The sequence below is a fragment of the Homo sapiens genome, chromosome 14 (assembly GCF_000001405.40).
Source record: "Homo sapiens chromosome 14, GRCh38.p14 Primary Assembly".
In the NCBI taxonomy this organism is placed as follows: Eukaryota; Metazoa; Chordata; class Mammalia; order Primates; family Hominidae; genus Homo; species Homo sapiens.
The window spans coordinates 94,233,345-94,248,867 of NC_000014.9; the positions used below are offsets into that span (position 1 = coordinate 94,233,345).

Below are 15,523 nucleotides of genomic sequence, written 5' to 3' on the forward strand. Positions count from 1 at the left end.
TCTTTTCTTTTTAAAATATGTATTTCAAAATTCTACTTTTATCTGTGCATACAGAGCATTGTAAAATCACCATAAACTTTACTTCAGTTTTTTCCTAATTGTTTTAATTGCATAATTTGTAATTATCTTTACCTTAATAACTCAGAAGACAAATAAGATAATCCAAGTTATTGAGTCATGAACCTCAAATCGTAATTCAGGTTCTTTAAAAACATTTAGAACTTTAAAATACTCTGAAGGAATAGCTGACATGAGTGGCATGAATGTATAAAATTTTGTGAATTTTTTTCTCTAAATTTTCTCTTTAGATTTTGAATCCACTTGTTTCCAAGGCACAACTTTCCCAAACAGTCCAGTCTCGTTTAGTTAGTTGTAAAATTTTAGGAAAATTGACCAACAAATTTGATGCCCACACGTGAGTATTTGTATGTAATTTTCGGTCTACTTTATTACATTCGTTTAAAATGTATAATGACTGTGTAACAATATATTTGTGTTATTTCATACTGCATACAAATTTAGTTATCTTAACTATTTTAACTTTATGGAATTCTCATGACGAATTTACTTATTCAGATGCCTTTCTTTTCAATCTCATAACTTTTCAGAATTGGTAAGGTTAACTTTTTTCCTACTTCCTATCTTAATCTTCCCTATCTCATACCAAATATAGTTTTGAGGATAAAATAGCGTTATCTTATTGACTTTCAAAATTGGCAGCGGCATAAAGATAGAATTGCTGCTTTTTTACACTGTTGTTATGAATTTGTTATTTTGAATAATTTAACTTATTGTGAGGTTTTATGGAGCATGTTTATAATTCATGTGCTACTTCTTGCCTGCTTATTAAATACCAAATGAAAAGAATGGAATGTTTTATAATTATGATACAAGAGTAAAGCTGAAGAGTATTTTGGTTGATGGTTGCTAGACTCAGATATTCTACTGCTACAGCCTTTTATCTTAGCTATAGACATTTCAACTGCCAATCCAAAATTAACCATTATTTTAAAAAGACTGTGTGATATACATAATTTACAAGTAGCTAATAACATCCAAATTTAATAACATGTAAAATACCTTGTAAACTATTATTTTTTTTCTATTAAAGTACATTTGTTATTATTAAGGTGAGTTAAGATTTTAATGATAATTGTTTGGGAATATTATTCTGAAACACTCATTCATTTGCATGTTTCTTTTCTCCCCACCTTCAGCATTAAGCGAGAAATACTTCCTCTGGTAAAATCACTCTGTCAAGATGTAGAATATGAAGTTCGATCTTGTATGTGTCGGCAATTAGAAAATATAGCCCAGGGCATTGGGTAGGTATACTTTGAATTCCTTATGCCATTTCCATGAAAACATGCCATTGAAAGGCTGTATTTGATCTTTAAAAATGATCATAACAAGTACCTCCTCTATGTCTGGATTAAAAGAGATAAAGAGGAATGTGCTTAGCATGGTGGTAGGCGTTTGATTAATGTTAATTTCTTTTTTTCTCACCTTAGTTGCTTAGTTATCATTCCAGACACCTAGATTCAGGAAAGAAAAGATAGCCCAATATAAACCATACTTGGAATATGTTTGACTGGCTATTCTTTGACTATATTATTGGGTCATTTCAGATGGGATTGCAGTTGTCCCTCCATATCCTTGGGAACTTGGTTCCAGGACCTCTTTTGGATACCAAAATCTGAGGATGCTCAAGTCTCTGATATAAAAGAGTGTAGTATTTCCATATGACTTGCTTATATCCTTCCACATGTTTAAAATCATCTCTAGATGCTAATAGTACCTAATACAATATAAATGCTATGTAAATAGTTATGCTGTATTGTTCAGGAAATATTGACAAGAAAAAAGTCTGTACATGTTCAGTAAAGAAGAAATTTTTTTCTGAATATTTTCTATTCATGGTTGGTTAAATCCACAGATGTGGAACCTGCAGATGTTGAGGGCCGACTACACTCTAATGGAAGCCTTTCTATAGCTCCTGTGCAACTTCAGGCTTCCAATGTTTGTTTTGTTGCTCTCCTTGTTCTTTTTTTTTTTTTTTTTTTTTTTTTTTTTGAGAGGGAGTCTCACTCTGTCACCCAGGCTGGAGTGCAGTGGCGCGATCTCGGCTCACTGCAAGCTCCGCCTCCCAGGTTCATGCCATTCTCCTGCCTCAGCCTCCCAAGTAGCTGGGACTACAGGTGCCCACCACCACGCCCGGCTAATTTTTTGTATTTTTAGTAGAGACGGGGTTTCACCGTGTTAGCCAGGATGGTCTCGATCTCCTGACCTCGTGATCCGCCTGCCTCGGCCTCCCAAAGTGCTGGGATTACAGGTGTGAGCCACCGCGCCCAGCTGTTGCTCCCCTTGTTCTATGGGTGCCTGAAGCTCCAGGAGAGGCATAGCAGCCAATCTCTTCACCCATAAGAACTGATCTCATTTCAATCTTAGAAGTGTGATATTAAAGGGAGTCTTACCTAAAAACCATCTTGGGAAATCTTTTCTTTTAAAAACAAGATTCAAAATTGGTACAAAAATCATTGGAACCTCTCATTTTTAGCAGAAGTTGCACTGATTTCATCTGGTTCTTTGTTGCACAAGCTAGGACAATCAGATTGTGGTCATTGGTACCTTTGTTAATTTTTTAAAAATCTGGGCCAATATTTAAGGCTCCGAAAAGGCTTTTGAATGTCACACAGGGTATGGTAGAGTGTCACACAGGGTATGGTGGAATGTCACACAGGGTATGGTAGTGTACTCTGTCCTGTGTCCACTGTTGCTAAATAGTATTTAAGTGTCGTGTTGGAAGTTTAACACAATTAATGAAAGAGTTATCTGTTATGATTATTTTCTTTTTTAATGCCCAGAGATAATTAAGTTGAATTTGCATCACTGTCACATGTTTTTGAAAAAAAGAGAACTCTGTTTAAAGATTGAATGGAAATAACTTTTACTATAGAGATGAAATTATTTTTCTTAAACTATTTTCTTTCATTGTTAATAAATTCAAGGATTTCAGTAGGTATACAAATATATTCTGAGCAAAATTTATATGAAATAAATTTTTATGAACTTTGGATTTGTTCTATCACATTTTACTCTTCTACCTCCTCTGTCTATATCCTGTATTTGCTGAATGTTTGTGAAGTACTGGTAATGTTAACATCTCTATCTGTATGATCTAGATCAATCTCTTAGAAAAACATGTTTTTTTGTGGCTCTTCAATTGCTTAAGTCCTTGTCATTGTGGTATGCTGCCTAATATGGTAGCCCCTAGTCACATGTGGCTATTTTAGTTTAAAATAAGGAAAATTAAAGAAAATTAGAGCTTTAGTTCCTCATTCATAATAAACTTATTTTAAAAAATGCTCAATAGTACCCTACTGAAGAGTACAAATGATAAACATTTCCATCATTGGAGAAAGTTCTACTTGACAGCATTGTCTTAGAGTCTTTGAGATTTGCGCTGAAATTTTTAAAAGTTTTCTACAACTCTTAATAACTTTCTTGGACTCTATCAACATCTTATGTCAATTATAATTGATGCTGTTTTCCATCTTGTACCCAAGAAAGCTAACCACATCACAAGGCTCTCCTTGATCAGAGTGTTTGTCATTACAGTGACACCTTATCATGAGGAATAAGCAGAAACAAAATGTTGAATACAAACTATTTGTGATTGTATTATAAATATTGTATACTCCCTAAAAGTATTTATATTATGTTTCATTCTGCTAGGTAGGACACCTAGAGTGATATATCATCTTCTATATAGAAATTAGTTACCATAATTTCATGTATTAGGTGAATGGAAAATAATTTATACCCTGAAATCTAGATAGAAATATATTATTTAGGTTTCTGCAGTTACTACTGATAAGTTTTTCTAATTAGTCCAGATTTTTGCTGAAGTTGCTTAAAATGGAAAACTATATTATAATTTATAAAGTTTGATATAAACTCTTAGTTATTAAGATTTCTGTAGGTAACAATATTATGCTGGAGGAAGTGGGATTGATTGAAATCATTATGAAATTACTATTAATGTTTCTTATATGTATGGTGTGCTTTCCCAATAAGACTGAAAGCTTCTGGAGAGCAGGAACAGTATCTTTATGATTTTTCATATTTTCTGCAGCAACTAGCCCAGTCACTGGTTTTTAGTAAGTTCCTGCTACACATTTATTGATTTGATTTATTTTCTTCTATTGCTTATTGTGCAGGACAGAACTTACAAAAAGTGTGGTGCTCCCTGAATTAATAGAACTTTCTAGGGATGAAGGCAGCAGTGTACGACTTGCAGCTTTTGAAACTTTGGTTAATCTGCTTGATATATTTGATACAGGTAAATCATGTGGCTACATCTTTGCTTCTGAAAACAGTGTTTTTCTACATGTTTTATGTCACTAATAAGGAATAAAAGTAGATTTAGAATTTCCTATGTTAAGCCTCCCTTCCTCTCCCTCTTTTTATGATTCATTCTGTTTTCGTGTCTTCTTGGCTTTCACTTTTACCCTCATGGTGTCGTAGTCCATTTTGTGTTGCTGTAACAGAATACCTGAGACCAGGTAATTTATAAAGGAATTTATTTTGGCCCACATTTCTAGAGGCTGGGAAGTTCAAGATCAGGCAGCCCCATCTGACCTGTTTCTGATGAGGGCCTCATGCCACCTCGTAATCTGGCAGAGAAGTGGAAGGTGAAGCAGGCCTGCAAAAGGGAGAGGGAACAAAAGAAGCTGACTTTGTAACAACCTGCTCTCCAGAGAACTAACCCAGTCCCACGAGAGCTAACCCAGTCACTTGTGAAGGAGATCTCAATACCACAGGAACTTCACCAGTCAACCCACGAGGGTGGAGCCAGTGGGTGGACCCATGCGGCCCCACCTCTTAAAGATTTCACCTTCCAGTATTGCTGCACTGGGGCCAAGCCTTGACAGGCATTTTGATGGAGACAAACCATATTAAAACCAGTACCCTATGGCATACAGTGTTGCTACATATTCCATCTCTCTTTTCTCCCATCAAAACTTAACTGACTTGTGTGTGTATAGGGCTAAGAATTTGACTTTAACTTTTTCACCTAATTGACATTAAGACAGATCCTGAGACATTGTCTACATGAGTTTCCTCTCCTTAATAATATTTTAATGCTAGAGATCTCATGGCCATTGGGGGAGAAATTTGGGATGGGGTATTTGAGTGGGAGAGGGTAAAGAGATATTCCTTAGTGTTATGTAAATCATGTCACAAAGACAGTTAACTGCTCTACTGAATGTATGGCTAGACTCTTGACTAATGCTGGATATTAGTTATCAGTAAACATTAACTATTTTGATAAAGAGAAATTTGGAGGAGTAAATGTCAAGTACTTAGGTACAGAATTCAATCGTATAATTATAGTATTACATTTACTTGGATTACCAACATTTTATCTGAACTCTAGGAAGCCTCTTAAAGATTATTGCAATATGGACAATAATTGTGTTTGGAAATTCCAGAACAGTCATTTAGACAATATGACAAACCAGAGGAGTAAAACTGCAGTACATGATAAGTGAATGAATAAATCTTTTTTCCTCTAATAATGGGGCATCCCCAGGCTCCAAACTAGAACCTTGCCATCATCTTTGATCTTTTCTCTTTTACTGCCCACACCCATTTATCACAGAGCTGGGCCTAACCTGTGTTTGTGGCTTTATTTCCTACCATTCTTTCCCACTCCTCTTGTGTCTGATGCTCCAGTCCCACTTCCTTAGCATACCAGATTCTTTCACACCTCTAGTCTTCTCTCATACTTTTTCTTTCTCTATTGTTTCCTTCCCTCTATTTTTGTCCTAGCCAACTCCTTCTGCTTCTTTTTTTTTTTTATTATTATAGTTTAAGTTCTAGGGTACATGGGCACGACGTGCAGGTTTGTTACATATGTATACATGTGCCATGTTGGTGTGCTGCACCCATTAACTCGTCATTTACATTAGGTATATCTCCTAATGCTATCCCTCCCCCCTCCCCCCACCCCACGACAGGCCCCGGTGTTCGATGTTCCCCACCCTGTGTCCAAGTGTTCTCATTGTTCAATTCCCACCTATGAGTGAGAACTTGCGGTGTTTGGTTTTTTTGTCCTTGCAATAGTTTGCTGAGAATGATCCTTCTGCTTCTTTAGTTCCCAGTTTAAATACAGTTTCCTCCCTGACATCTTTCTAAATCCTTTACACCAGGGGTTGGCAAACTATGGCCCTTAGACCAAATCTGGCCCACCGCCTGTTTTTGTGAATAAAGTTTATTGGGACAGAGCCACACTTATTTGTTCACATATTGTCTGTGGCTGTTTTTGTGATGCAAGAACAGAGCTGAGTAGTTGAGACAGAGCCTGCAAAGCCTAGAATATTTACAAAAAAAGTTTATAGATCCCTGCCTTATACCAGCTATTAAGACAGTGATCACATTGTCTTATATTTTTTGTGTTTGGCTTTTTTGCTGGTTTACATTTCTCAAAATCAGAGACCATTTATTATTCATATTTCTACTTCTACTTAGTTACAAGGCTTGTTCTGTAAGAAATACAGTGTGTTGAATGAATGTCATTTAACAAAAATAGTAGATATGGCACCGAAATGTAATGATAATAGTAATAATAATACTCATAAGCCTGTTATAGCATTTTATTTAGTATTTCTAGATAATAAAGAAGTGATTCATTTCTGAAATTTAAGAAAACTGTGAGAAATTTGGAGAGCATTTAGAATTGAGACTTAAAAATCACCAGTATGTCAGATACTTATGACCTAAGCAGATGTACTCAAATAATTGATTAATTTTTTAAAGAAGAGCCATCTAAGAAGTAAAAGTGATGAAATTCAATACATAGAACATATTATAAGCTAATGTAATTTTAGTAATAAATGAAATGATAAAATGGGCTTAAGCTGTAGCATGGTATGAGATGTGTGTAAAAGAGAATAAGAAAAGTTTCCTTTGCTTACTATTTATCTATTTATGTTAATGGTGTTAGAATTCTTTTAGTTATTCAGGCTCAAATCCTCAATCATCTTAGCTTTTTAATTCATAATCACTCTTTATATTCTGTTCCCAATGGCCTGCAGTATGAAGTCCAAACCCCTTAACCTGACATTAAAGTTTTTGATCATTTCAAGCCTCCTCTTACCCCTTTTTCACCACCCACCTCCATCGTTGTTGCTTTCAGGTATTTTCTATTACTATGAGGCTAACATAGTAATTTTTCTTTCTGGAATTTGTGTGTGTATTAGTTTCCACATGTGCAATGTGGACGACTGAATTTAAAGTATGTATTATTTTGTTTTGTTTTCCAGATGACAGAAGTCAAACTATACTTCCCTTAGTGAAATCATTTTGTGAAAAATCTTTCAAAGCAGATGAATCAATTCTTATTTCTTTATCTTTCCATTTAGGAAAACTATGTCATGGACTATATGGTATGATATATCCTAAGAATTTTGAGACTGTAGATAATTTTTCCCTTTTTTTTCTACCTCAGTCATTAAACTTTGGCTCTTCAGTTAATTGTAAAGCCTAACTCTTAAGTATATAAAAATCTTATGAGATCTTAGAATTTTGATAGCATCATTTAGAGCACATTTAGGAATGACTTTTTCACCAATAGAACCTATTTGAAAGAACAGTGACAGAATGAAGTAAGCATAGCTCTTTAAATCTCTGAATATTTTATAATTATGTATTATTTGGTATGTGATAATAGAAGCTCAGGCTTATTAACTATTTGTACGTAGTAAGTATACACTTATTAACCATTTATTGAATAATTTATTATATCATTAGAGAAGTTCAGCTTGGGATGTAGAATAATGCCATAACTCTTGGCATTTTGAACACATAGTTCTTAGCTTTCCGTATCGATGTGAGATAGACTGTTTAATAATGAACTCGTAACAATATATTATGAGTTTCTAGCTCCTTGAGATAGTTAATGAAGTGGAACCATTCCATTGATTAAAAATATTTTGAATTTATTTGCTGTCTTTCAGATTCAATTTTTAAGCTCCTTCCCTGCAGAGACACATACACACATGCATGTGTCTTTTCTGTCAGCAATTTTAGAACATTTACTATAATAGCAGATGTATAAATAGCCACAATGTTACTATTAGTGACTTTTTAGTGGCCTACAATATGATACATGCTGCAGCAATTAATGCAGCTACAGTTCCTGCGTTATGTAAGTTATACTTTTGAAATTAAAATATTACTGGTATTAACATGAGGTAAAATAATGTGATCTGTTAGATTCCTAACAGATACTCTTTTCATGTTCCTTTTATTTATAAAGTATCTGTAACCATTTATTTAAGTATTTGGCTCCAATTATATTTTTATTGTACTTTGATTTTCCCTTTTTAAATTTTGTTTTCAATTGAAATGTTGAGCTAGTTTTTTATATTTGTTTTAGGAATTTTCACTCCAGATCAGCACTTGAGATTTTTGGAATTTTATAAGAAACTTTGTACATTGGGTTTGCAACAAGAAAATGGACACAATGAAAACCAGATTCCACCCCAAATCCTAGAGCAGGAGAAGAAATATATTTCAGTACGGAAGAACTGTGCTTATAACTTTCCGGTAATAAATATGTATTTATATTTACTGAGGATTTTTATTATAACTTTAAAATATGTGCATAGATGGCATTCAAAATATTGCCATTTTTGACACTTGCTGCTTGCATTATGTCTAGCATACATAGTATGTGCAGAGTAAATATTTGTGAAATTTATATCTCTACGTATAAATCAGAATAATAGACACATATTTGGATCTTCCAAATATGATTTTTAGTTAAATTACAATTCAGAGAACATGATTTCAATTTAAGTGAAACGATTATAATATTAGGTATTGATGCATGTTTTTCTTTCCTTCCCACTCATCTCCTCCCTTCCACCTCCACCAGGCCATGATTGTTTTTGTTGATCCTAAAAACTTCCACATGGAACTCTATTCTACATTCTTCTGCCTTTGCCATGACCCTGAAGTACCAGTCAGATACACTATTGCTATTTGCTTTTATGAAGTAAGTCTGAAGACTTGATATCACTTTACGTTTGTTGTTAATTCTACCTATGTATACTAGATGATTTTGTGCTTATAGATTATAAGATATAGACTGGATATCTCTTTCATGTTCTAGTCTTAAATCTTGTTTAAAAATTTCCTTAATTTTCTTCTTTTTTAGTATGTTTACTGAATCATTTCCATAAATACATTATATTTGTGTATTCTTTTATTAACCCATTCATTCAGCATATCTATACCAAGTGTTTAAACCAGACATTGTGGTAGATATGGGTGATGCGGATTTTAAAGTAAAATCAGTTTTTATATGCTTTATAATATTTACAGTTAACTTTGCACCTAAACTTAAGCACTTGAGAACCAATAGAAAATTGAGACACATTAATTATTTTTACTACAAATGGATGGTGTTTCGTGAGCATGGCTTTTAGATTCTGCTATTATGACTATAAAGTAAGAGCAAAAATAAATTGAAACTTTTATGATGAATTTAACTTTTTAACCCTTGAAGTTGAAATTTGGGGCATGTTTCTTGAATGACAGCAAGAAGTGCACGTATGCCGTGGTTGCAATAAATACGGATAAGCTATAACTTTCAACTTCAAAACTGACACATAAAAGCCTCTGGATAAGTGGTACAAGTTCTTATTCTCAGTGAGAATATTTCACCCCCTTCCTTGCACTGTGTTCCTATGTCAGAGCACTTTGATGATCTGCAAGTGTGCAGGATATCCATCCATAGCATCATTATTAATGTTGCTTAGATTTTTTTTTGGCTATTGGGTGATAGTTTTGCTTTTTTAAAAGAACGCTTTTTCTGGTATGAAAATATATATGCATTATACAAAATCCTGGACATCTTCTCTTTAAATTAATTTCAGTGCTGCACAATTATATCATCTTTGTAAAACACACCTGTAGAACTCTGCTTTCGGAGGAGCGGGGATAGGGCAGAAAGCACTGGCCAGCTGAGCAGAATATTCACCTCCAAGATGCATTAAATGGTCACTTAGGCTTGGTTACCATGTCCACATGTACTTGTTAGATCAGTGGTCTCCAGAGAGGGTTGTACAAGTTTGGAGTCTGAGAATGCAGTATTTATGCAATTTTAGACTTTCTATTTTTTTCTCATCAGTTTAATATTTAATTTTATTTATGTTTTATAGTAGACATAACATAGCACCATATAATTAAACATATGGAAATGTACATGTGTATACAAATATGTTTCACTGGTGGAAGTGAGTTTGATAATCATTGATCTATATTTGCTGGGTGGCTAGTTTCCATATTCTACCACAATCATACCATGTAGGTAGGGTAAGAATGATGTGCCTCTCCATAAAATGAGGGGCTAGTGTAAATTTTTTTTTTTTTTAAAGTAATGAAAATCCACTGGTGGATTTAAATTTTTCTAACAGTGTCAATGCTAGAGTCTGATAATTGCTTTTGTATTCTTTGTTCTCATTTTTCAGAATAATAACACTTTGGAAATATTTTTGACAAGTCAAAAACAACCCTGTTAGAGCAAAGAATTTTAAAACACTTTCTTTATCCAGGGACCATTTTTTTTTTCAAATAAAACTTTATTCAAGCCCAGTGTGTTTTAGAAAGAATAAGGTGAAATAGAAACTGGTAAATTCACCATTGTGGGCTCCGAGTTTATAAGGAGGAGACAAAAAAACTACTGTCTACAAGGGGAACTGTATTATTCTGGACTCTCCCAACTCCTCTCATGCTGGTTAAAGTCTTTGATGGGGAAAAGTAAAGTTGGTTTGCTTTCTTAGGAGTTATAACTACCCCGACATCACTGTAGGCCTTCAGTAGAAGTTACCCTTTGGGAAGTTCTGAACTGGTATGAACACTTGTATGCCTAGGATATCCTTTAAGACCCTGTTGGCTCCTCTAAGACTTTAAAATGTGAACTAGAGGCCCCTGTGGGCTTGTTATTGCTGTTGATGTGAAAGTAATGACTCTGGTAAATCCCATTCTTTTGTATTTCCTCACCCCATGTGTGTCTGCACATTCCAGCATGTCACGAGGCAGACTAGAAAGCTGGTTATTTGTGCCACTAATTTTTATAGAATCTAATTTTATATTTGTGTTATAACATGGCTTTATTTTAGAAGAAATATATAACAAGGATGTATTTTTAAAAATTATTATTGTAACCTGTATCTGTCTAGTACTCTCAAATCTGAGAGACTTTATTGCTATATTTTAGGTATCTAAGCTTCTGAATTCTGGAGTATATTTAATACATAAAGAACTAATAACATTATTACAAGATGAATCACTGGAGGTAATATTTTCTTACTCTTTGATTTTTAATTCTTTTATGTTTGGTCCAAATATACCAATGCCTTTTCTCCCCTTCTTCTTGGAATCGTGTCAACTCTTTCAGCTGACTAGCCCCAGAAGCTTCAAATTGTTGTACCACTATATCATAAATAGGATATTGGGAAGATAGTTTAAAAAATAAGGTTTTAAAATATATTCAGTTTTAAAACTTAGTATATGTATATTTGTTTATTAAGAAAAATTTAGGAAGTGCCAAAAAACAGACAAAAGAATGCCTTTAATTTCAATTACTGTTACTATTTGTTTTCTTTTTCTTTTTTATATGAATATTCTTTTCTATATAAAGGTTTTTATTTTACTCAATTGTAATCATATATCACATTTTATAACTTGTTTCTCTTGCCATTGTGTAGTATTTTACCACTTAATATGTACTTATGAAGACTTTGAAATACTTTATTTTGATGCTATATTTAGATATTCCTTTCACCTAAATGACTGTTAGTTTGCCAAAGCGCAGCTCATGAATATTTTGATATCACTGAGAATATTATCCAATTTAAACAACGTTTCGAAAGTTTGGAGGCAGTTTTTGAACATGTTAGTTTTGTAGAAGTAGCTGTCTCAGATTTAGACTATTTGGACAATGTCAAGAGGCAGGTACACTAATCTCTTTTTGAAGGTTGGCCAAGGCAGTTGATCATGTTTCTAAGACTTTTCAGCAAGAAGATGGCAGAGTAAGAAAATACAAATCCTCAAAATGTTATTTGGGGGAAAAAAAAAAACCACTACTACTATATAGAAATTGACATGTAGAATTAATCTAGCAAAAACATAGTAATCACTATAACAGTAATCAATATCTCTGTTAAAAGGTACTAGATGCTCTTATAGATCATCTTCCAGAAATCTTGGAACTTATGTCTACTGGTGGAGAAAGCAGTGTTCAAGAAAATAAGGTAAACTTCATCTTTCAGAAACATTCTGAGTTGTGTAAATATTATCCTACTCTACAGGGTGTTTTGAGGCATCAATGAAAGAATGTTTGGAAAACTTGTAAAATAGTGCATGCCACATAGCAGGTGGTCAGTAAAAGCCTATTAGAGTTTGAACAGCTTGAATTTCCTCTATCTTTCTTACATTAATAATTTTAAATTACCATGATTGTTGTCTATTGTCTTTGGAGTTTATGTTCATATTTTCATTTTTCATTAGCATTAATGATTATTCCAAGAATAGCAAATAGGACAAAAGGGTAGAAATTTATTCTTTATTATTATTTTTTAAGCCTCTGTGTAACCTAAGAAAAGGGTAGGATTTAGGAGGTCAAAGCTTATTGACAGTAATAATATGTAATACATTTTACTGTAGTTGGAAGAGTTGCTATGATAATCTGACAGGAAGAAGAATGAGTTGTAGTTTTTATTTCAAAATTTGGTTCCCAGGAATCATACTTTTTACTTAATGATTTCTTTTAAAAGTGTTTGATTTAACCAGATAATTATCTCCTTGTGACAACTAAGATGTCTCCTAAACTCTGAAATGAGAAGGAGTATTCTCTTCCCCAATGTGTTATAAGACTGAGTAATTTTACTGAGTGCTGCAATTTATTTATAATTGATTTTTTGATGCGTTTCATTTTCAGTTATCTTCTCTGCCTGACTTGATTCCAGCACTCACAGCTGCTGAACAGCGAGCTGCAGCCTCTTTAAAATGGAGAACTCATGAGAAGCTACTTCAGAAATATGCCTGCCTGCCACATGTCATATCAAGCGATCAGATTTATTACCGTTTCTTACAAAGAATGTTCACAATCATGATGACAAATGTGAGCTCAGTACCTTTCATCTTATTCTTTTGAACTCATGGTTGGTTCTGGAATTACCAAAACTCTTCATATTTTCAAAATAGTAGAACAAACTCAGTTCATTCCATTCTACCTAGGAGGATGTCAGCTTCGTAGGTCCAGAAGAGGGGACTCAGGTTTCCCTTTGCCTCCCCACTAGGTCTCCCTCTGAGAATCTTCTCTCTAGCTGGAGAGAGGAACGACTAGGTGGCACTTTCACCTACCCTTTGTTTATATACTGCCAAGAACAGAGTAGACTCACTTCAAACTTGAAATAGTTCTTCTTAAGAGGAAGGTTGACAGGACTCAGTGACCTTGACTGCAAAGGACCTTCTTCTGTTCTGATGTGCACCTCTGATGCATCCACAACCTTAGTGTTTGACCCCAGCTATGCTGTTTTGCCAAGGCACCCCTTAAGCTTCCTACTATAAGTTTGGTTACTTTTAGAGTGTGGCAATGGAACAGAGAAAGCTTATACAAATACATGGATGCCCTGCTATTGATAACCTTATAATTAGTGTTAAAAGAAAAAGACTCCTCCCTCAAAACAAGGTGGCACTCAAGCCTCCCCACAAAGTTAATTGTCTACTTTTTTCACAGAAATTTCCAAGGGGATTATTTAACTCATAATTCACTGTACATTTAACATGACATCCTATTGCAATTTTTTGAAATATAGAAACATTCCATGGCTCTGTGATCTCGGCACAGAAGGCTTGGGACAAGCCCAACTGGTCAGGCCTGCCTCTGGGGCAGATGCTGAGTTGGGGTAGTGCAAGCTGGGTGGGCCCCACACTCATCTGCTGGGCTGAAAACCCTGGGCTGCATGTGCCTACCTGGTTGTATACCAGTTGTACCACTGCCCTGCCCAGGGATCTCCCATCTTTGACCCACTGCACTGCCAGACTACCAGCAGACATACCTTGCAAGCTCCTCTGAGCTGGAATCAATCCTACTGAAACTATTCAAAAAATTGAGGAGGAAGTGTTCCTGTTTAACTCATTCTACAAAGCCACCATCACCCTGATACCAAAATCTGGAAAAGACACAAGAAAAGAAAACTGCAAGTCAGTATTCCTGACGAACATCAACATAAAAATCCTCAAGAAAATACTAGCAAACCAAATCCAGTAGCACATCAAAAAGTTAATTCACCACAATCAAGTGGGCTTCATTCCTGCAATGTGAGGTTAGTTCAACATAAGCAAATCAATAAATGTTATTTGCCACATAAACAGGATTAAAAGCAAAAATTACATGATCATCTCAATGGATGCAGAAAAGGCTTTTGATAAAGTCCAGTGTCTCTTTGTGTTAAAAACCCTCAGCAAACTAGGCATTGAAGGAACATACCTCAAAATAATAATAGCTGTCTATGACAAACCCACTGCCAACATCAAACTGATTGGGCAAAAGCTGGAAGCCATCCCCTTGAGAATTGGAACAAGACAAGGATGCCCACTCATACCACTCCTATTAAACATAGTACTAGAAGTCCTAGGCAGAGCAATCAGGCAAAAGAAAGAAATTGAAGGCATCCAAATAGGAAAAGAGGAAGTCAAATGATCTCTCTTTGCTGATGATATGATTCTATACCTAGAAAACCCTAAGGATCTTGTCAGAAGGCTCCTAGACCTGATAAACCACTGCAGTAAAGTTTCAGGTTGCAAAACCAGTGTACAAAAATCAGTAGCATTTCTATACACCAATAATGTTCAAGCTGAGAGCCAAATCAAGAATGCAATCCCAATTTTAATAGCCACAAAAAAAATATCCAGTAACACATCTAACCAAGGAGGCGAAAGAGCTCTGCAAGGGGAGCTATAAAACACTGCTGAAAGAAATCATAGATGACATAAACAAATGGAAAAACATTCCTTACTCATGGATTAGAAGAATTAATATTGTTAAAATGACCATATTGCCCAAAGCAATCTACAGATTCAACACATTCCTATCAAACTACCAATGTCATTTTTCACAGAATTAAAAAAATTATTTTAAAATTACTCTTGAATAGCCAGCGCAATCTTCAGCTGCTATTTCAGCCCTCTGTTTACCCAGTGTCCTATCAGCCTTTTACCTGTTAGTTGTAGAATCCATTGATGATCCTTGCTTGAATTGGTGATTTCATTATAACTTGAAAAATAATTTTAAAATTCCATCATTTATGCATTTTTAATGGTGGCATTCTGTGAAGAAGTGCATTCCTTTGTCCACATTGGTTATTTGATTACCTTGAGCTACGTTTACTAATGTAAAGACAGGATGAATTCTTAATTTTTTCCCTTGAATTATCAATTTTCAGAG

At 34.5% G+C, this 15,523-nt stretch overlaps 1 protein-coding gene across 10 annotated transcripts in view; it reads left to right on the top strand.

Annotated features, from left to right (window-relative positions):
• Positions 1 to 15,523, top strand: part of PPP4R4 (protein phosphatase 4 regulatory subunit 4) — a 105,413-nt gene that overhangs the window by 59,023 nt on the left and 30,867 nt on the right. For all 10 annotated transcript variants that reach the window (NR_145441.2, NM_001348144.2, NM_001348143.2 and 7 more), the window contains 9 exons: positions 309 to 415; positions 1,218 to 1,325; positions 4,221 to 4,342; positions 7,329 to 7,451; positions 8,444 to 8,613; positions 8,945 to 9,064; positions 11,291 to 11,368; positions 12,243 to 12,326; positions 13,013 to 13,195. Coding sequence is in view for 9 of the 10 variants with exons in the window: in NM_001348144.2 (NP_001335073.1) it covers positions 309 to 415; positions 1,218 to 1,325; positions 4,221 to 4,342; positions 7,329 to 7,451; positions 8,444 to 8,613; positions 8,945 to 9,064; positions 11,291 to 11,368; positions 12,243 to 12,326; positions 13,013 to 13,195 (1,095 nt within the window). In the remaining variant the exon portion in view is untranslated. The remainder of the gene's footprint in view (positions 1 to 308; positions 416 to 1,217; positions 1,326 to 4,220; positions 4,343 to 7,328; positions 7,452 to 8,443; positions 8,614 to 8,944; positions 9,065 to 11,290; positions 11,369 to 12,242; positions 12,327 to 13,012; positions 13,196 to 15,523) is intronic.